The sequence below is a fragment of the Homo sapiens genome, chromosome 9 (assembly GCF_000001405.40).
Source record: "Homo sapiens chromosome 9, GRCh38.p14 Primary Assembly".
In the NCBI taxonomy this organism is placed as follows: Eukaryota; Metazoa; Chordata; class Mammalia; order Primates; family Hominidae; genus Homo; species Homo sapiens.
Window position 1 is genome coordinate 16,783,635 of NC_000009.12, and position 24,341 is coordinate 16,807,975.

A 24,341-nucleotide genomic window follows, 5' to 3' on the forward strand; every position below is an offset into this window, starting at 1 on the left:
TTACATTATTGACTTAGCACTTGATCACAGTATCTCTATAACAATCTCAAAAATTAATTCACAAATTAAACCTCTACTTCATTTAAACCACTATTATATTCACCTTTCTTCCATGCTGTCTAGAAATATTTTTTCTTAAGTAATTTCAATGAAATCGCAAAGCTATATTTAAACTAGATCAATCATCCCTAACCTTTGGCTAACTGACAACCCAATTAGCCAAAACTGTATTGGTAAATTTTCCAAATGTAAGTTTTAAAATTCTTTTATATTTTTAAAATATCGATACATATATGAAAATGTTGGAAGATTTTAGAATAATTGAAATTTCAAGCAAAGTAATTAGTGACACCTCAATTAACAGTGGAATAGCATCCGATTTTTCCAGTGAATTTGGGAAAAAGGCAAAATTTCTGCTTAAAACAAGAAAAAAAATTCCTATTCAAGGAATGGAGGAAAGCATCACATGAATAAGAAACAAACATGACTATCTTCTTAGTCAAAAAGACTTTCCTGCCACACTGCTGTAGCACTGGAGATTCTGGGAGCACAGTCCCAGCCCTGGAGTTGCTCACAATGTAGCAGGGAAGACAGCTGTGCAAACAGATAATTAGGGTTCAGAGTATTCAGGGGATGTTGCCCTAAGGTCTTTGCAGTAGTCTGGTGCTACTTTTTTAACTATTTACCACTACTACTACTATACTACCACTACTAAAAGTAAATAAAGTATTTTCAAGAATTTCTAAATCTAGTTTGGAGCGCTATACAAATGTACAAATAATTGTCCCACAAGGGACAAAGTAATAAGTGCCTTAAGAAAAAGACTGCAAAATAAGAGGTATTCCTGGGAAACAATATGGATAGGACACAATATCAAAAGAGTGTCAGAAAGAGATGGAGGTAGAAAGGTAAGCAAGCCTACACTCAAGGAGGGATACTGAGCACAGAGGTAAGGGCTTACTCTGAATACAGAGAGTCTGCAATAAATGAAGTTTTGGGGCTGAGCACTGGCAAAGTCAGAGGTGTTTTTAAAAGCCTCCAATCTCAATCACTAGAGTATCCTAGAGAAAGTCTAAAGTTAAAGTGGGCAGGTACTGCAACAAGCCTATAGTAGGTCAGTGGGAATGAAAAGGAGTTAAAAGAGTGATGTGAACTCACAGTATAAACCACTCCCCTGCCCTCCAACTGCGGAGCAATAATAATGAGACTTTTTCTTTTAAGGAGAGGACTGTTCCAGAAGGCAATGCAAACTAAAACAATCTACTTCCAGGACTTGGTAAATGACAAGAGTGGAAGAAGAAATAAGATGACGATCATTCAAGTTTTTAAGCCCGTGAGACCCAGAGAATGGACACTTACAGAGGCTGATTAATACAGTATGAATACAGTATTCTCTGTATGTGCTTATGCTACAAAGCATTTTATAAAGACAGCTTCCAGTGTACCTTTTGGAAAGGGAATGTGTTTGCACTTTGTAGAAAAGAACGGGAACTTTAAACCCACCTGTGCTGAACCCAACTACCCACTAGGCGAGGTTAATATGTGTCCACATTTATGCTCTCATTGCAGTGCAAGACAAGACTGCCCAAGCCTTAAAGTATCCCACTGGGCAGGTTTGTGCGAGGGCCTTCACCTCCTGTTTAATAGTGTGGATGAACAGTTGTTCTCCATTTCACAGATATCACCACTGCAAAAACTGAGGCCACGGGGAAAGTAAGGGGATCAGGTGACTACTTAAGGTGATGGAAATTCTTGCTATGTATTTCTTTTTTTTAGTTAAGACAGAGTTTTGCTCTGCCACCCAGGTCGGAGTGCAGTGGCTCGTTATTGCCTAACTGCAACCTCCACCTCCCAGGTTCAAGCAATTCTCCTGCCTCAGCCTCCTGAGTTGCTGGGACTACAGTCCTGTACCACTACACCCGGCTTTTTTTTTTTTTTTTTTTAGTAGAGGTGAGGTTTCACCATGTTGGCCAGGCTGGTCTCAAACTCCTGACCTCAGGTGATCGGCCCGCCTCGGCCTCCCAAAGTGCTGGGATGAGCCACCACGCCCAGCCTATGTATTTATTTACGAAAGAATGGATGCAGGCTGGGCGCATCCATTCTTGAGTAAATCAGTGAACCAAGCTTGCACCATTGCACTCCAGCCTGGGCAACAGAGCCAGATGCTGTCTCCAAAAAAAAAAAAAAGTATGCAAAAATAAAAATACACAAAAACTTGACAGAAACAAATGGCAATGTGAACACATTGCTGGGGCCTTTTCCCAGGGCCTTGAAGGAAAATCCACCTCTGGGCCTGTGCACCTATTTAGAAGAACTGGAGCTTGCTGGTCCTCTGAGGAAGCTGAAAGGAAGGCAGGAAGAGGGTAGTCTCGGGAACCACAGACACCTTCCCTTGTGAGAAGCAGCAGTAAACTTTCTGGACAGCACCCAAAGAGTTAAAATTACCCATGAAAATATAAGTCAAAAGAGTGGAGTGGCTTAGAATGGCTGATTACTCTTCTAAGAATCTCATTTGACAGAGGTAAAATACAAAGAAAGTGTGCGCTAGTTTTTACAGAAAACATATGGGAACTTACCTGGGGAAATTTGCTTTCTCTTAACTAAACAAGGAGTCTTTTCAGGTATTTTGAGTTGAAATTGGGAAGGACAGTCTTAATTATAGAAAATGTGGAGAAAGACTGAGCCATTGGAGAATGGTGACCATGGTGCATTAATATTCAACTTCATTCCTGGGTAGGTGGAAGAAGACTAGAACAGGACTTAGAATTTTACATACAAAGACCCAGTACAGAAGAAACGGAGGGAAAAAAAAAGTCAGTCTCTACCTGAATAAGCTTACACACGAGACTTTAAGAGAAAGATCAACAAATATTAAAGAAAATTACTTTATCCCCCAAACTGTGGCTCTTCAAAATAAAGTTACAACAGATATGAAATGTAAACCCTTTTCTGTCCCGGATACCATATAATCAGGGTTCCATGAGAATGCATGCATGGGGCAAGCAAATTTCGTCAGAACTCCCTCTCTAGCTCTGAACCCCAACTGCAGAAAGGGGGAGAGGCCCTGCCCCAAATGTGGGGGGCAGAGTCCTGCTGGGAACCCACAGGATGACTGTGATACAGGTGGGGCAGAAAGAGCAAAACCACAAAGAGTGGCATCCTCAAGGGAAGGTCATTGATCTGCGGCACAATAACTCCCACCCTGCAACAGTCTAATTCCCTTCCCCCATCCCAAAACTCACCCCAAACCCACGTGGTTGGGCAGGTTCTCCCCTCTCCTACTTCTTAGTGGGAAGGGACTGGAAAGAGCAAAAGATCTGACAATCAGTGATTAAACAGGACAGGCTAGAGACGAGTAACAGTGATTCCAGGCTCCCTTGAAAATAATAAATGGCAGAGGGGACAGGAAGAGAGCCAATTAGTACATTCCCAGGCAAGAGAGAGCTGAGGCCAAAGTAAAGAATGGAATTAAACACCAATTTTGCCAGTCTGCCTACTTCAGCAACATCTCTCTTCACTGATGTGAAACTGACAAGCAACCAAGACAAAGGTACAAAACTTCCAAGAGTGTCAGAAGCCCTGGGCAGGGGGAAACTAGTTCTCCCTCCATCCACCATCACCTGTGATCTTGAGTCAGTCATCTCAGAGCCCTCTCTAGACTTTACTCCTATTAGCTGTAAAATGAAGAACGGGGAAACAAAATAATTTTCCTAAGTCGGCCTGGTGCTAGCATTCTAGAATTCTGAAAACAGCATGATGTGCATGAAAGAGTATGGACTCTGGAGCCACGCTGCCTGAGTTTAAATCCCAGCTCTGCCAGAATTAGCTGTCTGTCACTGGGCAAGTTACTTGACCTCTTTGTGCCTCAATTTCCTCACTTGTAAGAGACAAGAATGACATGCTTTACATCATGGAGCTATCCTGATGATGAAATGATCTGTTAGCTGAAGTTACGGTAGTGGGCTTATTCTATATCCGGTACCTTTTGAGTGTATTTTTGTGGTGAATCACCTAAAGAGGGTAACTACTCTGGCCACCGCTTCCTACAGTGCTTCCCCTCCTAGGCAAAAGGTAGATAATATTTTCTTTCTTCTTTGTAGAGACGAGGGTCTCACTTTGTTGCCCGGGCTGGTCTTGAACTTCTTGCTTCAGGTGATCCTCCTGGTTCAGCGTCCCAAAGTGCTAGGATTAGAAGCATGAGCCAACGCGCCCTGCCCTTAGACAATATTAATCAAGCACAGAATTATTTCCTTAGCCAGGATGCAGCTTCAGAACCGTTACTGAATTAGAATCACTGAATCATAGCACACAAGATGAGTCAGCCACATCCTAAATATGGGTAATATTGTGTCCCTTCATCACTAATTCCATCACATTTGGTTCAAACTGGTTCAAATGTAGTACCCTCAAACATACAGTTCCAGAAAACTCCTTCTGGTGGAAAGGATGTCCAGGATCTTTACAGAAGAGAATCTCCAGCCTGGATTTGTGACAACTGAACTCTCTGACTTCCAGTTCCACGGACCAAGCAAACCATAGCTATCTCCGCAGATATTTTTACGTTACCAGTGAAAAACAATGGGTAACCACAGATGAACTGACTTGGCTGATGACACTCCATAAAGAGGTCATTCCTGGGCCAGGCGCGGTGGCTCACGCCTGTAATCCCAGCACTCTGGGAGGCCAAGGTGGGCAGATCATGAAGTCAGGAGATCGAGACCATCCTGGCTAACATGGTGAAACCCCGTCTCTACCAAAAATACAAAAAATTAGCCGGGCGTGGTGGTAGGCTCCTGTAATTCCAGCTACTCGGGAGGCTAAGGCAGGAGAATGGCGTGAACCCAGGAGGCGGAGCTTGCAGTGAGCCGAGATGACGCCACTGCACTCCACCCTGGGCGACAGAGCAACACTCCTTCTCAAAAAAAAAAAAAAAAAAGAGGTCATTCCTTTTAAACATGACAAGTTGATTCAATGACAGTCTACAGTCCAAGGCAAGGCCTTGGGAGCAAATTCTTGGTGGTGATATGGTAGGATAAAGAGAAAAGGGAGCCCTTTAATTAACAAGATCAGTGCCTAGCAAATTTGATCCTGGCAAAGATCAGAGGATAAGGAAGGAGAGAAATCAACTCCTTCATATGCCTCACACCCTGCCAAGGTTGACTTGCAGGACAATCCCACACTCCTCAGCCTCAACATGTCCAATATGCAGGGCCTCCTCTTTCCCACCTGTTTTTCCTTCTAGATTCCCCACCTTAGTTGAAACGAATTCCACCTCCTACCTCAAACCAAGCTCCTCCTTGGCATCTCTATTCCCTCTACTCCATTAGCACCTGGTTAAATTGTAATACAATCAAAGTCTCTAGTCTTGCTCCTCTCAAATCCATCCTCCAACCAAATCTCACAGATAATTCTGCTTAAAACCCAAAGGTTCTTACATGCAACAACATGGATCAATCTCAGAAGTATTATGCTAAAGGAAAGAGACAGAATTAAAGCACTACATACTGCATGAGTCCATTTACATGATATTTTGAGAAACACAAAACTATAGGGGCAGAAAACATCAGTGGTTGCTAGGGACTGGGGGTGGGAGGAGTTAGTCACTCAGGAGCACTGGGGGATTTTAGGGAGTAATATAAATGTTCTTCGTCTTGATTGTCACGGTGGCCATGGCACTTATATCAAACACACCAAACAATACAATAAAATGGGTCCATTTTACTGTGTATAAATTATACCTTAATTTAAAAGAAACTAGGGGAAAACCCTATAGACCCTCCCCATTGCCTACAAGTTCCATGGCGTTCCTGATCTGGCCCATATCTTACCCTACACACTTCAACAACACTCAACTTTTTAAAATGTCCTGTGCTTTCCATGCAGAAGCATCTCACCACTGTACCCTTCTTCAACGCAGCTTTTCCAGATTAATTCCTAAGTCCTCCAGGCATGTCTCCCTGCTTCTCCCACCTCTCATACACTCAGGCTATGTGTTTGATAGGTGTCCTCTTGGCTCTTACAATGCCTGGTGTTTCATTATTATTTCATTCACAGAAATGTATTATACATGTTATAGGCATATGTTATAGTATAATGGTCTTGTCTCTCACCAGTCAACTAAGATCCAAATTCTCTGAGAAACGAACTACTATTCATTCACATGTGTACATGCTGCCTGGCACACTGCAGACACTCAATAAGCCTTTATTGGAATAAATGTTTCTTAAAGGCAGGTTTGGCCTGTCCACTTTGTTGGTATACCCTCATCACTTACAAGAGTGCCTACTTGGCTCAATAAATACAGGTAGTCCTCATTTTGCATGATAATGCAATACCACAAAAGTGATCATGCGCGCTGAAATCATGTGAAATGATTTTTTTTTGAGATGGAGTCTCGCTCTGTCGCCTAGGCTGGAGTGCAGTGGCGCGATCTCGGCTCACTGCAAGCTCCGCCTCCCAGGTTTATGCAATTCTACCTCAGCCTCCCAAGTAGCTGGGACTACAGGTGCCCGCCACCATGCCTGGCTAATTTTTTTTTATTTTTAGTAGAGACAGGGTTTCACCATGTTAGCCAGGATGGTCTGGATCTACTGACCTCGTGATCCGCCCGCCTCGGCCTCCCAAAGTGCTGGGATTATAGGCGTGAGCCACAGTGCCTGGCCATGAAATGATTTTAATAATCAACAGAAATATTATGATTGTTCTATGACCTTTAATTTTTTTGTCAAAACAGTAAAAACTGTCTATCAGCTATAAATGTGTAGGAAAATGAAAAGTATATTTATTTAGTACTCTAAAACATCAGAAACTCTGAGAATTGTTTTATTTATTTATAAAAAACTGTGTCAATAGTAGTTTCAATGGGAATGCCTTATTCTCGTTGCTAATTTACAATTCTAAACAAGCATCTTTTCCATGCCTTGGTAGATAGGTATACTTCCTTCTAAGTTCAGACTTGCTTCCAACATTTTATCCTTTGTGTTTTCACAGTTATACAATATCTGTGAGAGTTCCTCTCATATGATTTTTTTTGCCAGCATCTTTCCTCTGTTACATCTTCATCCTTTTCATCACAACCACTTCATAACTGACTTTGATAAGTTAGTTATCTTTCACTAAGTGCTCCTAGCTAAATATATAGAGCCTCTAGAACACTGGCTGAGTTGACATTCCCTTGGTAAGCTTTTTTTTTTTTTTTTTTTAAGAATGCTGTTTACAATTAGCTAAAATTTTAATCCAATTTTAACACTTCATTTATTTGATGCACTTTGATCTTTGACAATTCTCCCCTTTAATTATCCATTTTTATGAAATGCTACATGGGTCTATCACTGGGAGACAAGAAGGCAACACGACTACATGCTTTGCTGTCCGCTGATGAACAAAATAACAGGAAGTGCTAGTGTATGGGATTTTATACAATTATAGATTTTTTTTTTTCTTTTGAGATGGAGTCTCACACTGTCGCCCAGGCTAGAGTGCAGTGGCATGATCTCGGCTCACTGTAAGCTCCGCCTCCCGGGTTCACACCATTCTCCTGCCTCAGCCTCCCGAGTAGCTGGGACTACAGGCACCCGCCACCATGCCTGGCTAATTTTTTGTATTTTTAGTAGAGACGGGGTTTCACCATGTTAGCCAGGATGGTCTCGATCTCCTGACATCGTGATCCGCCTGCCTCGGCCTCCCAAAGTGCTAGGATTACAGGCATGAGCCACCGCGCCCGGCCACAATTATAGTTAATGTAACATGATAACTGAAACTTGGACTGTGTTGAGGGACTAGTATTATTTAGTTAACCATGGCAACTGAAAATTGTGTATATTAAAATCATGCAAAGTGAGAAATATCTGCATTTAGCAAATACAAATTATTTTAGAATGAACTGGCTCACCACTGGGCCAAATTTAAGAAACAGAGATTGATGCCCTTCCCATTACACCTTCTGACTGATAACATCACAGAATCACAGCAACTTCCTAAAGACCCCATTCACAGTCAACTATAACAGATGAGAGGAGAAATCTAGATTATAATTCGAACACTGTTACTAGTAACAAAGTCACATACTGACACTGTGTTTCTATGACTTGCCCTATAAAATAAGTAATACTACTACCTCTTCACAGGGTGGCGTGAGGACCAAAAGAGAAAATAGATTAAAAAGTACTTTTAAAAATTCAACTAGAGGCCAGGCACGGCGGCTCACACCTGTAACCCCATCACTTTGGGAAGCCAAGGCAGGTGGATCACTTAAGCCCAGAAGTTAGAGACCAGCCTGGGCAGCATGGCAAAACTCCATCTCTATCAAAATACAAAAATTAGCCAGGTGTGGTTGCTCGTGCCTGTGGTCCCAACTACTTGGGAGGTGAAGGTGGAGGGATCCCTTTAGCCCAGGAGACGGAAGTTGCAAGGAGCCAAGATCATGCCACTGTACTCCAGCCTGGGTGATAGAACAAGACCTTGACCCTCCAAAAAAAAAAAAAAAATCAACTAGATACCATCATACCAACTATACACTCAGTATGCACCAGGAACTATTTTAAGAACATTTTACAAATTTTCACTTACAATCCTCATGACAACCTACGTGATCAGTTGCATTATAACCCCCATTCAGAATACCAAAGCATAAAGAAGTCAAATAACTTGTCCAAAAGCATGCAACCTGTAAGCAGTGAAGTCAGGATTTGAACTCAGGAAGTGTAACTCCGTAAGTGAAGTTCTTCAAAACTTCATCACTAACTTATCTGCTTTCCTCAGAAAGAAGGATACAGTCATTGAGAAGGGTATAATATTGACTCCTAGAAGCCAGGCAAACCTGATTCATATAATTCAAAGATCATTGCCAGTTAGTTCTGCTGGGAAATTTTCAGGTTTCTGGCAAAAGAACAAGGATGCACAATATGCAGAGATCTGAGAAGCTAGAAAGACCATTCCCAGTCTGCAGAAGGGGCCAAAAGAATAGTTCAAATACATTCAATTCCTTCAATTCTAGTGAGTAGAAGCATAAATACCAGCGGGGGGAACCAACTAAGAAATAAAGTTTACTTTGCAAGAAGAGGGAAAGAATTCGTATTTATCATAAGCGTATAAAAAAGCTAGAGTGCTATAAAAACAAGGTATGTAAAACCAACAAACTTCATTGACATTTTCAGTAACACTGACCCTGAAAGTTAATAACATTGTTTGCTGAGGTCTGATTTCACAAGGAATTCCATATGGAATAGGAACGTGGGAGCCTAATAAGGATGTATGATACAAAAGCAAAGGGATTAGTTAACTAAAATAAGTGGATTCCTCTCTAAATATAATCTACTCATAAGGATACATTTAGAACATTTGTATCTCATTAGGGGTATTAAGTGAGAAAAGATTCTCAATACCAAATAGTCCTAATTATAATTCATCTTAGGAAATAAAGTGAGTTTTCTTAACTAAAAGGGAAAACATACTGCAAGAAACAGCTTTAATATAACAACAGGATTGTCAACAAAGTCAGACACCAAAACAAATCCAATTGCCCAAAGGAATACTGTGAAAACTGAATAACTGCTCCAACAATACAATGTTTTTTTAGACTATTTCTCAACACTTTACATTCTTTTTTCTCTTATTATCAATCATAACAATCCAAAGCCGAAATCAGTTACCTAAGCAAAGAAAATCCAACTATAAACAGCAGAAACAAATTAAATTAATATAAACCATACAAACCAAACACGAATGTATTTACCCCATCACACCTTTCATCAAGGTTCTGCCAGTGGTGAAAATGACATGGTTAGGATATGACTTAACAAGCCAGTGAACATTTTCTTTGGGAAGGATCAATTCTAGTTTTCTTTTGTCCTTTTTATTTTTTTTGACAGGGTCTCACTACATCATTACCCAGGCTGGCCTCAAGGGATTCTCCTGCTGCAGCCTCCCAAGTGGCTGGGATTACAGGTGGGTGCCACTATGCCTGGCCAATTCTAGATTTCGATCCCACCCAAAGGGGTACTTGCCTTCCACATCTTTTTTTTTTTTTTTTTTTTTTTTTTTTTTTTTTTGAGAGGGAGTCTCACTCTGTCCCCCAGGCTTGAGTGCAGTGGCGTGATCTGGGCTCATTGCAAGCTCCGCCTCCCGGGTTCACGCCATTCTCCTGCCTCAGCCTCCCGAGTAGCTGGGACTGGGACTGCAGGTGCCCGCCACCATGCCCAGCTAGTTTTTGTTTTTTGTGGTTTTTGTTTTTTTGTTTTTTTTTTTTTTTAGTAGAGACGGAGTTTCACCGTGTTAGCCAGGATGGTCTCGATCTCCTGACCTCGTGATCCTCCCATCTCGGCCTCCCAAAGTGCTGGGATTACAGGCGTGAGCCACCGCGCCGGGCCTTGCCTTTCACATCTTGAAACAGAAAATTATTTAAATGATATACATTGGATTGTGTGACTTAGTTATAGGTTATAAAACAAGTGAGAGGTAGCACCCAGTGCTGGGTATCAGTGACATGGCTCTGCCTTTCTCACTGCAAGGTATTGTCCTCAGGCTGGCCAAGAAGGTCCATCTCCTCTGTAAGCATCTCAGCCACATTTCAAGCAGTGATGTGTTTTTTATTCCAGATGGGAAACTCTCACTACCGTCCCCCAGCAGACTTCCTCTTACAAAGTATTGGTCAGAACTTAATCACATGACTGCTCGTAAACCAATCACTGCCGAGGGGAATGCAATTATCATGACTGAGCTTTTTTCACATTAATCTTGAGATATCTCCTGTCTGTTCATTAAGACCAAGGCTCTCCTGTTTCCAACCGCCACCCCCAGCCACCTGGGAAGAGAGAGGTGGGATAGACATCATTAACAGGGTTGGCATTAAAATTCACCTCAATTATTCTAAAAGATCCGTATGACAACTGTAAAAGGGCTGTTTTTTGTAAAGATGCACTATAGTCATTATCATCATCTAGGCCTGGGTCCCTGTAACTTAAGAAAAACACTCCACCATTAGACAAACAAAGGCACCAGAATGCAATGAACTATAATACTTTACCCATTAGGTGAGTAAGAGCCAGTAAATCAAAGGGCTTTTAAAAAACACAATTCCTCAGCTAACACCATGAAGCAAAATTAACCATATTAGTTCTCTTCAATTTTACACTTTTGGGGGTTTAGACCTCTCAATCACTCCAGATTTGTTTTTCAAAAAATTAGCTGTCCTTTTTCATTTACACAATTTTCCCCTTCCTCAAGAAGAAGTGTCAGGCTCAAATTACAACAGCTTATCTGATGGGGGAAAAAAAAAACCCATGCAAGATATATTCCTATATTTGGGCCTTTAGTGATAAGTTCATGATAAAGGAAAATACAAATACTCTCTCCTCCTCCATGCCCACGAACAGCCCAAGACTTGGAATCATTCTTCACAGGGTTCACTCACTATCCAGTCCAACTCTCAACCTCCCTAGGCCTTTAGCAGATCCAAGAAAGATGCAATCCTCTCAAGTTTCCAGAACAATGAGAATAAAAAGAAGGCTGACTAGAGTTGAAAACAGGAACACTGCCTGCATCTTTTCTCACTTTTTTTTTCAGGGAGTCCTTTAAAGCAGTGTAGGCGGAAAAGAATAAGCAAAGGAAGTAGGAAGGTTCAACACAAGATAGTAAGGCGAACTCCACATGTGACCGGTCTTTCTACAGTCCAGAGACGCCCAATCTGCACGCCTCTACACACAACAGAACTGACACAAACAAATGATGACTGCTAACTGCTAATTCTGGCTTTTTTTTTTTTTTTTAAACACACTCCAGAAGTCATTGCAATACCGGAAACATTGGGAGACTGAGCCATCTGATGACAATTACAGGAATCCTGGAAGGGAAAGAATGCTCAAGGAAGGCCAGACGGCCATGCAATTATAAACCCTAGCTCAGCCCATGTCCTCTCCACACCCTCCACATCACTGCCAGCGAGAGGAGGATGGTGACACCATTAACCAACATTCCCAGGCTGATCCCAGGCTCACACACACTGCTCCAGAGAGGATATCATGATTTTGGTTTGCTTGGTTTTCTTATCCTTTGAAGTAAGACACTTCATGATTGTCATGAGTTTGGTTCCCAAGGGTGTGAGATTTATAGGAACCAAGACTTTTACAGTAAAGAGATGATTTAAAAGGCAAACCACTAAAAATGACAGTATGAAACTAAAACGTTTCCAAGTTGCTTTAATCCCTGAACTAATCCTTGCAGAATGCCAGGGAAAGAGGATGGGAGGTAAAGGTCATGGTTAGGAAGAGAAAAAGAGCTAACATTTACTAAGCACCTCCAAGAGCAAGCCACTTTCAGGATAAAGAAACCTTGCAAAGGAGAGAGCATCCAAGTCTAACCAGAACTAAGGCTCAGAGAGACAATTTACGCAGTCTCAAAGCTCTTAAATGAAGACAATGGAGTGAAGCCCCAAACCCATCTCACTTCAAAGCCCACACTCCTTCTACTAAGCAACACTGTTAGTGAGACAGCAGGTACATAAAACAGAGACAAAGCCAGTATGACACAAAATGGCATTAACCATTCACTATCTAACCAAGGCACAATTAACTTGGCTTCTTTCGTAAGTACTTTATATAGTTTTACATCCATTTCTTTTCAATTAATATAGCATAAGTATAATCCCATATAATTAAAAATTTCACAAAAGTCTAGTCCTTTAAATAACTACACCCTGATAGATTTCATAACTGATGTCTTCTAACTTAAAGCCCTGTGCTGACAGGACTAGGAAATTTAAAACATTTGAAATAGTACATATTTAATGAAGAAGTCTCAGGAAGCAAGGAAGTATAGGAGACTGCTTAATAAGAAATCATGAAAGGCAGGAGAATGGTGTGAACCCAGGAGGCGGAGCTTGCAGTAAGCCGAGATCACGTCAATGCACTCCAGCCTGGGTGACAGAGTGAGACTCCGTCTCAAAAAAAAAAGAAAGAAAAGGAAAGGAAGGGAAGGGAAGGGAAAGGGAAAGGGAAGGGAAAGGGAAAGGAAAGGAAAGAGAAAAAAAAAGAAAGAAAAGAAGAGAAAAGAAAGAAAGAAAGAAATCCTTATTCCATAGAATTCCTGCTGTTTCAAGAGAATGTACTTGAGTAGAATCGTATTTGACAAATCTTTATAAATGGGAAACATTATCTATAAACACACACACAAGTGTACAAAAATTCAAATTAGGATTGCTAACTACCATTTATTTATCTTCAACTAATGCCTTTTGTGGGTCTCTGTACAAGGTCAAATACTGTCAAATTTTCCTTAAATTGTCGCAAGTTGAACACTTGCTTCAGTCTGTTAGCAAAAGTGGGGCTTCTACGATATGGCACAAAACAAGAGGTAGCTTTTGTTAAGGTAGCTACCTGACTACCTCACAAAATATGGTGTTGGTAGTAATAAAGTGCAACAGGAATGATAAAAGTAAAAATGATGATGATGACAATAATGGCAGCTTTCATTTACTATATCTTTCTCAGTGTCTGTCACTATTCCTAAAGCTTAATATAGATTTTTTTTTACTTAACCTTCTCTAAATCCCATAAGGTAGCTACTACTATTATCCCCAAAAAGTAACAAGCAAGTTGAACTCAGAAAACTTGAGTTCAAGTCCACACTTGGCTCTAATAAGCTGGAAATAGCTTCATCTTTCTAGATACCCAACTTCTCCACTATACAATGGAAAGGATGAGGTTGGGGGCACTGTAGATTAAATGAGCTCCTCTGTACTATAGATTTGACATCCCTCTGAAAATACATATATGCCCCTCCCAATCCATGGCAAACACACATCACTAAACAATCATGCCAGTGAATCTCATTATGACTTCACCATCTTTCACAGCACAACACACTAGGAAGTTACTAACAATCAACATGAGCTAGCTTTTAAAATGAAACCTCGTTGGCCTCTTAAGGATGACACAATATCACCTAGCTGGAGGCTAGGTATGCATCTAGTAAGAGTGTCACACAAGTCCAAAAGCTAAAGTTTGGCAACTTAAAATTTGAACACCAAGATGAGATTGAGTCTGTCAATATCTGGTATCCAGCTGAAAAGTCTTAAAAGAAACTGGGGTTTCTTGCCACCCTAGAAACCAGCAGACCTAAGTAGTCACATATCCCCACCAAAAGTTGCCCAGGGCAACAAATGATACAACTCCAGTCTACCAGTGTGGCATGAAAATTTATGCCATGTCCTAGGAAAGGAAGCAGGCCTATCCCACCAAGAGAAGACTGCCTTCAGAAGGAAAGTATGGGATATCCACAGGAAAGGAAGAGATCCAAATTCTGATTTTCATCTGGCTCTGATCCCATGTATTAAGTTAATGTTTTAGCTCAGTGAAAGTAATTACCAGCTAGGCTCTGCAATCCATCAGTTCACCCTGGGCATTCCTGCTGATTCTTTCTTTGGTCTCTAGGACCCAAGAATCCCTTTTGTTGATCTGGAAGTGTGAAGGAAAAGTTGGTTGTTACTAGCTTCTGTCTTTCTATTCTAAATTTCTGCCAAGTAATTAGGAAGAGAAAATGAACTATTTTCAAGTTTTTTAATGGAAGCTATGCAGATTCGAATAGGCACAGCCTCTCACAAAAATAAGATTAAAACCATATATCTTTGATGTCCCACCTTCCAAGTAGAATGGACAAATGCAATTTGGCTCTAGGCTGTGAACTCAGGGACTTTATCCAAATCACCACCATTCTAATTTAGGTAATTTGGCAAGATTAGCTTAGTCAATAAATTAAATATATATGGATTTACAAAAGATTTTCACATATCCCCACAACTACCCTAAAGGAAAATATTATTTGTATCCCCATTTTGCAGACAAGTATGACAAAGTTCAGAGGTTAAAAGTACTAACCCTAAGATCAAAGTGACAAAGCAGTCTCTTGACTCCAAACACTAGACTTCTAAGTAATTTTTTCAAGTATGGTAGTATCTTATGATTTAAAGGAGTTCCTCCAACCAGAATTAACATTCAAAACTACATTAAGGACTTTACCAAGTGCCATTCAGACAGCAGGCAGGTAAATTTTTCATTCTCCACTAAACTACGTAGAAATTATAGAGGAAATACTGAAATTATTCCCCTATGCTCCCCACCACCCTGTAAGTCCATTTCCATTGCACAACTACACTGAATGGGCAATATAAATATAATAAACATATGCCCACAGAGAGCAGAAGGTAAACAATCACGCACAAGTAATGGCAACAATGGTGAGCCCTTTCTGCCACTTAAGCTGTAAACACAATTGCTGACTTTGGTCACCAGCAAACCCCATGGGAAGGTGGCCCACAGCTAAATACACCACTTTCTATCTATCCAAATGTCAGGGGGCTCTGAGAGTCATACAAACATCAACAAGCCTGTAGTTTTTATGGCTCAGAACCAAGGTTCTGGGATCTGCAATTTGAATGGCCAGTGCTTGTCTCCTTAGGCATGTCAAAATCAGTTATAATGCACATTATTTTCCTTTTTTTTTCCGATTCTACAAGTAATACACTCTAGCTGTAGAAAATATAAAAAATGTAACAAAGTATAAAGAAGCAGAAATTAGTCATAACTCCAGAGGCAACAACTGATAATATTGACCTATTTCCTTCCAGTCATTTTTTTTCCTGAAAAACATTGTTTCCTTTTCTGCAGAAAGTATTTACTTTCTATTTTATTTATTTATTTATTTTTGATATGGAGTCTCACTCTCTCACCCAAACTGGAGTGCAGTGGCAGGACCTCAGCTCACTGCAACCTCCACCTCCCAGATTCAAGCCATTCTCCTGCCTCAGCCTCCCAAGTAGCTGGGATTACCAGCACCTGCCACAACACCTGGCTAATTTTTGTATTTTTAGTAGAGACAGGGTTTCACTATGTTGGCCAGGCTGGTCTCGAACTCCTGACCTCAAGTAATCTGCCCACCTTGGCATCAGAAAGCATTTACTTTCTTCAGGCAATAACAAGAAGGGCAAAATAGCCCAAAAAAAAATTAATCCCATTGTATTTACAGAACTAACTCAAATTTCCCCAGTAAAATCTTGATGCTAACTACATAAAAAATGCATGAAAATCCTCTGGAAAAGCCCAGTAAGGTAATCACCCAAGTCCTTCTACTGGAACACCCACAAAACCAGAAGAAACAATAATCTATAGTGAATATAAGCGGTAACCTTGTCAGATTTTGTTTTTTCAGAACTTTTTTACCTTCCAAAATCCTATTTTTGCACTGAAACTATTAACCCTAATTATCTTATCAGTGACAAAAGGAACTTTGGCTCACACAGAGAAGAAACTATGTAGAGGCCGGGCGCGGTGGCTCATGCCTGTAATCCCAGCACTTTGACAGGCACAGGTGGGCAGATCACCTGAGATCAGGAGTTCGAGACCAGCCTGGACAACATGGGGAAACCCCATCTCTACTAAAAATACAAAAATTAGCCAGGCATGGTAGCAGGCGCCTGTAGTCCCAGCTACTCGGGAGGCTAAGGCAGGAGAATCACTTGAGCTTGGGAGGCAGACATTGCAGTGAGCCGAGATTGCACCACTGCACGCCAGCCTGGGTGACAAAGCAAGACTCCATCTCAAAAAAAAAAAAGAAAAGAAACTATGTAGAAAGGGGTGGCATGGGATGGCAGGTGGATGGAAAAACAGTCTTATTTCCTTCTCAAAATTACACTTCTAGAAGAAACGAAATACTATCTAAGTACCATATACATGTCTTTTTGCATAGTATATAACCAAGGAGCACAGCGTCTGTCCTCTCTAATTTGAAATGGATAGCTCAAAAGTAAGGCAAATCCTGTCTAATAAAGTTGAGGGGATATTCTTTTCATATCAAAAAAAATAGAGACTTAAATGCAACCAGTTACTTAACCAGTAAAAGCACTACTTTTGTAATGCGAAGAGGCACTGGAACTCTTTTTTTTTTCTGGCAATTTCATTGATCATGTATTTCTAAGGTACCTATTTAAGAGGAATTCATAGAAAAAGTACTCTTGTACTACTTATCGCTAAGTAAAGATAATTTTTAAATAATTTTCAGTGCAAGAGATCTGGAATTTTACTCCCTACAGCCTAGTGATTTTAAATGCCCTGTGACCCTCTGAGGCACTGCCAACATCAACATCTGGTACCTGGTACAAAGAAAATGTATTTTCAACAGTTTTTAAAAACCTCTTCTTTTTCATCATGTGCTTTAAATATGTTTCTAAGATAGTTGTCTTTCTCTCCTTTCTGATGTAGAAAAAAAAGGGAAGCTATTCTATCAGGCAACTACGTGTTTTAGAAGCAAAAGGGAAAAATAATAACCAAAAATTAAGTTGTTGCTAATGTTTTTTCATTCCTCCCAAAAGAAAGATTACACAAAATAGACATCTTCAACCTGACTAGATGAAAAAAGAACCCAAAATGATTGTAATTATTGCCCCACAAGTATATACACTTCTAAACAAGACTTCAAAATCCAAAGTATATCCCCTACACAATTCTCCGTATTTCTGATTTCTTCCTCCTTTTTCACATGTAAGTCTTTTTGTGACCTTCAAATCTCCCAAAGACTTTAGCAAAAATAATAATGATAGTACTATTGATAATACATTCATCACCTTTATTTTTATTTATTTTGAGACAGAGTCTCACTCTGTCACCCAGGCTGGAGTACAGTGGCGTGATATTGCTCACTGCAACCTCTGCCCCCTGGGTTCAAGTGATTCTCCTGTTTCAGCCTGCCGAGTAGCTGGGACGTGCCCGGTTAATTTTTCTATTTTTTTTTTTCTTAGTAGAGATGGGGTTTCACCATCTTGGCCAGGCTGGTCTTGAACTCGTGACCTCGTGATCTACCCACCTCAGCCTCCCAAAGTGCTGGGATTACAGGCGTGAGCCACCGTGGCCAGCCCCATTCCTCACCTTTAAATGCTGTACTTTAGCAAACAAGCTCATTCAACTAAACCTCAAGTACTTAACCTAGAAGTTTCAAGTTACTTTTAAAAAGCAATACAGCTATAAGCAAAACTGACCATACTTTACAAAGGAGTGAGAAAGCCATGCCAAAAGAAGCTGAAATATTTTATTCTAAGACACCCCCTTAAATTAAAAAAAAAAAAACACACACACACAGAAAAAATAAAACTGCCTCTCAACTGTAAGTTAATTAATTGAAACAAAGGGATAATCCCTTACTGTATAGCTTCAAAACAGCTGTGTGAAGGTTCATTTCTATGTAAACTTCTCCTTCTCTGTGGTTCTGGCTCAAGTCTGAAGTTATCATTATATAAGTAAAACAGCCCATAAAAGTTTTTCCCGTTTCAGTATCATCAACTAGTATACAGGAGACATGCAATGGGGCAGTCCACAGCTAATGCATCAATTTTTTTCACAAGCACTCATGTTATGCCACACGCCTGCTTCGTATCCAAAATAAAACGACTGTCTTCCACATTAGAAACATTTTCTCAAAGAAAAAAACATAGCTATCATTCATTTCTTAGCCAAACATGCTCAAGGATACGCGGCATTGGGGCCAGTTAAGAGTGCAAATATATTAGCTGCGACTTCAGCAAGTGCCTGTCATGTTGAATAGCATGAAGAAGAGAGATAGTAATTATTGCCGAGAAACCATTAGAGGGCTCCTTAGTAAAACAAGATGCCCGAGCAAACTAATGGACCAACAGTCCACTGCAGTGTCTTTTCCTATTCCATTTAGCTGCATGTCAGTCCTATCAAATCATCTGACACTTGCAATGCAGCCAGGCTCAGTACAATTAGCAATATCCTTCACTCCCGTGCCCATTCACTGGTGCTACAATAAGCTGCTACATTTGTACAGCAAGAAATGATTTCTTGATTGTTTGTGACACAGAGATCTAAAGCCCTTCCTGCAAGGCAAATGTGCATTGGTCTTGCTTCAGCAACAGAAGCTTCAGGTCTTATGTTTATACAAGAGAGACAACTCCTAGAGTAGAGACAACTTGCTTCACATTACTCATCTCTCCCATTCTTTGTCCATCTCTAGCAAGACACTTTTCAAGCCCATAGACAAGGACCGAAGGGTTTTTGTAAGAACACACTATTTGAAATTCCAAGACTGAGATCATGGTGGGTTCTATGTGCTCCACATGTGAAGCATTTTCAGACCTAGAGATTCTGCTGGGACCAGAGAATGTTCTCTGGATTTGGAAATAGGCAAAGCAAGTATGATGTTTTCCCTTCATTTTCTTGACCAAATGGAGGGTCACTAACTTTGGGGAATAAAGACACGCAACTTTGTACTACTTGGCAAACTTATTCATAAGCTATTGCATTTTTAAAACCAGGTAGCAAATATTTGGTTGGTAAAATAGAGTAGACCATCACACAGACATTGACTTAATATTCTCCCCAAGTGTCTCTCACTTCATAATCTATCTACAAGTGAACCTCTAAATGGCCATCTGTTTTAGTGATTGTAGTTTTCCTATATTCCTAAACATTTGGACTTGCAGAAGGACCCAGAATGAACACCAGCTCTAGATGTATCCTGTGTGTTTCCAACAAAGCAGGAAGGCACCACTCCTTGGCTCAATTGTGAAATGCTGCCATTTCAAAAATCATCAGTGCCAAAACATTTATTCAAAAGTGACAGTGGAGACAATTCTGAGGACAGTGCTGAAATCCTGCTGGAAATGTTTTAGCCCTCAACTTTAGTCATGCTATATTTCACCTAACAGCTAATTTATAATACGTACCTCTGCCCCAAAAAGAGCAAAGTTAATGAGTTTTATTACAACGAAGGGAGGCAAGGGCTGGATTATCCAGCACATAGCAAGCCTTCAAGGAGGGAAGTGACGAGTTAACATGAGACATTGTGAATATTTGGAAGACAACCTTCCTTTAAATGAGACACTGCTGGTAACGGTAATGGGGAATTTGCAATGAAGGGAAGGACATGCAATTATAATCTGGCTGGGCCCCACTGGACAAAAAGTGATTTACTTGAAAGCTGCCTTTGCACTCAGTAAATGTTCCTGTTATGGGCTACTCAGCCGGTGACAGCTTTCCAGATGTCAATCAAATTATCATCTATTTACAGTTGATTTGGTAGTGTCATTTGCAATATTCCCTACGTTTCTGATGAAATTGGAAGCACAGAATTTTCTCCAGTTTGCCCTGGCACTCGAGTGGGCAAACTGCTCTTTGCAAATGTCATGTGTCCGCTTATCAGCACTCTAAGGAGTGCGATCTTGCATTCGGCTGAGTGAATCGCTACCAGATGCAAATCTCTCAATCGTCAAGGGAAGACTATGGCAAATTTTAATGTACTTTGAAAAACTCAGTTTACATCAGTGCTCAAGGTGCAGCTTTACCCAGGCTAACAGTTTTTGTATAACAATGAGCCTAAATTAAAGCCTGAAAAACAAGGAAATACTTTTAACTCTTTCAGGCTTCTGCCTGCTCCACGCTAAAGAAAATGATGTACAGAACTATACTTACAAAATGAAATGTCACAGTAGTTTGCCGCTAGCTATAAAATTTAACTCTTTGAGGAAAGATTTGCATATGAGTTATTATTCTTGTCAATAAAGCATCATAAAATAATTTTATTCTAAAAGTAATGCACAATGATTAAACACTCATTATCGGCTAACTGTTCTAAATATTTCACATGCAAATACACAATCCCCAGAACGTTTTGATGTAAGTACTATCATTGTCTCCAAATTACAGATGAGGGCATTGAAACACATGGAAGTTAACTGACTTCCTCGTGGTCACAGCTAGAAAGCTGCAGTATCAAGTCCAAATCTAGACTCCACTGTCTTAGTATGCTATACTCTATGCATGCATATACATGCAGATGCTCACAAGCACATATGCTGGACATGAGATATATGCCTCAGCACATGACCGCTCATGAAAACAGAGGTTATTTCCCTTTCAATTTTTCAAAATAAAACTGCATGTCCTGGAGATAGGTTGTTTTTAGAGGATCTCTCCAATTCCTTAAAAACCAACTGGAACACGAAGTGGAGTATGATACGCACAGAATGAACAGCCACTCAAATATTAGTATTTGCAAGCAAATGGTGCATTTATTTCACATGTCAGAAAATGTATTTTCACTGCTTGGGGGAGATCCTGGTGTGGTTTAAAAGTGGTGTGGAGAGGCCGGGTGCAGTGGCTCACGCCTGTAATCCCAGCACTTTGGGAGGCCGAGGCAGGCGGATCACAAGGTCAGGAGTTTGAGACCAGCCTGGCCAATACAGTGAAACCCCGTCTCTACTAAAAATACAAAAATTAGCCGGGTGTGGTGGCATGCGCCTGTAGTCCCAGCTACTCGGGAGGCTGAGGTGGGAGAATCTCTTGAACTCGGGAGGTGGAGGTTGCAGTGAGCCGAGACCACGCCATTGCACTCCAGCCTGGGTGACAGACTGAGATTCCGTCTCAAAAGAAAAAAAAGTGGTGTGGGGATCTGTTTGGTAGGTAACACCACTGGATCAATATAAAACTATCTCGAATCTTCAAATGAGCATTATAAATAATCCATGGACATAGTAGGGTTTGTCAGAGAACACATGCCATCTTTAGAATCTGGAAGACTTTATGCAAAGGTCTGCAAGGCTACATAAGCACAGTCAAATTTCTATGTGAATGTAGCCAAACACATGAATTCCCTGGCTATTGTTTCATTCAAAGGAAATTCATTATTTTTTTGTTGGTTTTTTTTTGAGACAGGGTTTAGCTCTTGTTCCCCAGGCTGGAGTACAATGGCACGATCTCAGCTCACCGCAACCTCCGCCTCCTCGGTTCAAGTGATTCTCCTGTCTTAGCCTCCCGAGTAGCTGGGATTACAGGCGCGTGCCACCACAGCCTGGCTAATTTTTGTATTTTTAGTACAGACGGGGTTTCATCATATTGGTCAGGCTGGTCTCGAACTCCTGACCTCAGGTGATCCGCCTGCCTCAGCCTCCCACAGTGCTGGGATTACAGGCGTGAGCCACTGTGCCTGGCAGGAAATTCATTTTAAACTACATGGAAACTGCATGAGAAACTGCAATGAACAAATTAAAGTACTTACATGTATAATTTGCATACATGCACACACACACACACACACACACGCAAACACAGTGTCCCTTCTGAATTCTGCTTTAGTAGGGAGGGGCAAAAAAACCTAATGGCTTAAAAATAAAATTCACTTAAATGTAAAACACAGATGGGAATGTGAAAAGTTTGATGCTCAGGCATTAAATACTGATACATTAAGATATATTTTACCTATATTGGTAACTGATTACAAATTTTTAGTGTAACAGTATATTTTGATTCTAATGTGAAATAGTTTGTGAAGCAAACAGTACAAATGATTTGCTTCCCCAATGAAGCAGAGAGAAGCAATGCCCTTAAAGAAGGAAAGGTGTGACCAAACTGAGGGAAAGTCTCAAACCAGTCCCAAAATGATTTAAAAGGGGAGAATACTGAAGATTAAACAGATATTAAATCAGTTTTTTGTAAATGACCTTGGCTAAAGCTTTAACAGGGGGTGATATAAAAATACTCAAATATTTAAAGAAAATAGGCCAGGCACAGTAGCTCATGCCTATAATCCCAGCGTTCTGGGAGGCAAAAGCAGGAGGATCACTTGAGCCCAAGGGTTCAAGACCAGCCTGGGCAACATGGTGGGATCACTGCAGTGAGCAGTGATAGTGCCACTGCACCCCTGCCTGGGTGACAGAGTGAGGCTTAGTTTCTTTCTAAAAAAGAAAAAAGAAAAGAAAAGAAAGAAGGAAGGAAATAATGCAGAGGAACGGAGTGCTATTTTGAAGGTTCACTTGGAACATAATGATAAGAAGGAATTTAAGCAAAGTTTAGCTTGATTAAAACTTGTTGTCAATACCCAATAATCCTGGGAAATTACGCCATAAGTAAAGTGTTGCTTTTTATTTTCTAATTACCCAGGCAAAGTTGTATATGTTTGTCTGAAGGGGTGTTGGAGAAATCAGAGAAAGACCCAGAAAAATAAGGACAGTTTATAACATCTCTGCTTAAGTAACAGCCTTAATGTAACTTCTTCATATTAGTTCTTCCTATCTTACAGTTCTCAACAAGAAACTACAGTCTCCCTATGGGTTCAAAACATGTTTTAAGATTCTAAATTGTCCCCTAATCAGACTGAAAACCTGGTTTGGCATAGGTGGAGGAAGTTAACAGGTGTCAGAAACTATCCTTGAATTAAACTGAGAATAGAAACTCTCTCCCCAGATTGCCAGCTCTGCATGCTGACCAGAAAGAGACCATCCAGAATCTGTCTTTGTCAGTGCAGCACTCACTAGGCTTTATAGTAGAGGTGTGCTATAAATTTAACTTTGATAAGAAATAGTCTACTTTCTTCTCTTTTTTTCAGGTTAGACCCAATGTAATGTTAAGCAGATTATACTTTCTTGACTAATATCATGATTATTATCTATGACTAACAATTTCCATTAGGCAAAGTTATATTTCTCTTTCCTATGCAAGTGTTTTTAAGTTTTAGTATCCTTCTTGTTTGAAACCACCTGACAACTTACCATTCTGGGACAATAAAAAGTCAGTGTCAACACCACAGATCTCTTTATGACTAGAATGAATAAGAATAATGGCAAATGCATTAAATGTTATCTACAGAAAGTTATTTTTAAGTATCAGAACACAACATAGTATCAATTTCCATGAAAACAAGGTTTATAGGACAGAAACTATCATTTTATTAACCCAAATCTTCTTCTAAATCTTCCCATGATCACAAAAAGAAATAAGATACCATATTATTACATCAGTCTACAAAATATATCCTGTTTTGCAATATGCACCAATTGTCTCTTCATGCAATTAAAAAAGATGGAAGTTTTACTGGGGAGAAGGTTACAGCAAAATGAAGAAAGAAAATGAGAAGGAGGTGGAGGGAGGGGAGGTCAACAGGGAAATGCTCCATGAAGAGAGGGACCTAAAACGTTCTAAACACTATCTGTGGGAAGGAAGTAAAAGAGTGACAGAAGACACTTAATTCCTGCTTACATTACTAAATTGTTTAATTGAACCCATTGAGGATAAAGACCTGTAACTAATTCATTGATTAACATAAAGCTATTGTTATCTAAAATATAAAAAATTCCAGTTAGAAAGTGATTTCTGACACCTGAAAATTATCTTTCTGTCTAGAATGCCTTTTTTCTCACTCTGGAGTGAGAAATGAACTTAAAAATTTCCTAACAGATAAACTCATAATATCCAAAAATAGAATTTTATAAATATACTTTGTAGAATAAAAGAACATAGGCAAATCCTAGCATGGCTACCTATGTGGCAGTCAGACAAGATAAT

The 24,341-nt window shown here is 40.2% G+C and overlaps 1 protein-coding gene across 28 annotated transcripts in view, besides 1 other annotated feature; it reads right to left on the bottom strand.

The window, feature by feature from the left end:
• The window catches only part of BNC2 (basonuclin zinc finger protein 2), a 461,168-nt gene that overhangs the window by 374,132 nt on the left and 62,695 nt on the right, over window positions 1-24,341 (bottom strand). The window lies entirely within an intron of this gene.
• Window positions 12,202-12,703: an enhancer, noted in NCBI's record as "NANOG hESC enhancer chr9:16795834-16796335 (GRCh37/hg19 assembly coordinates)". NCBI's record gives its function as "activates a minimal SCP1, AML or CMV promoter by ChIP-STARR-seq in primed H9 embryonic stem cells {active_cell/tissue: H9 hESC(primed)}" and the evidence as "EXISTENCE:reporter gene assay evidence [ECO:0000049][PMID:30033119]".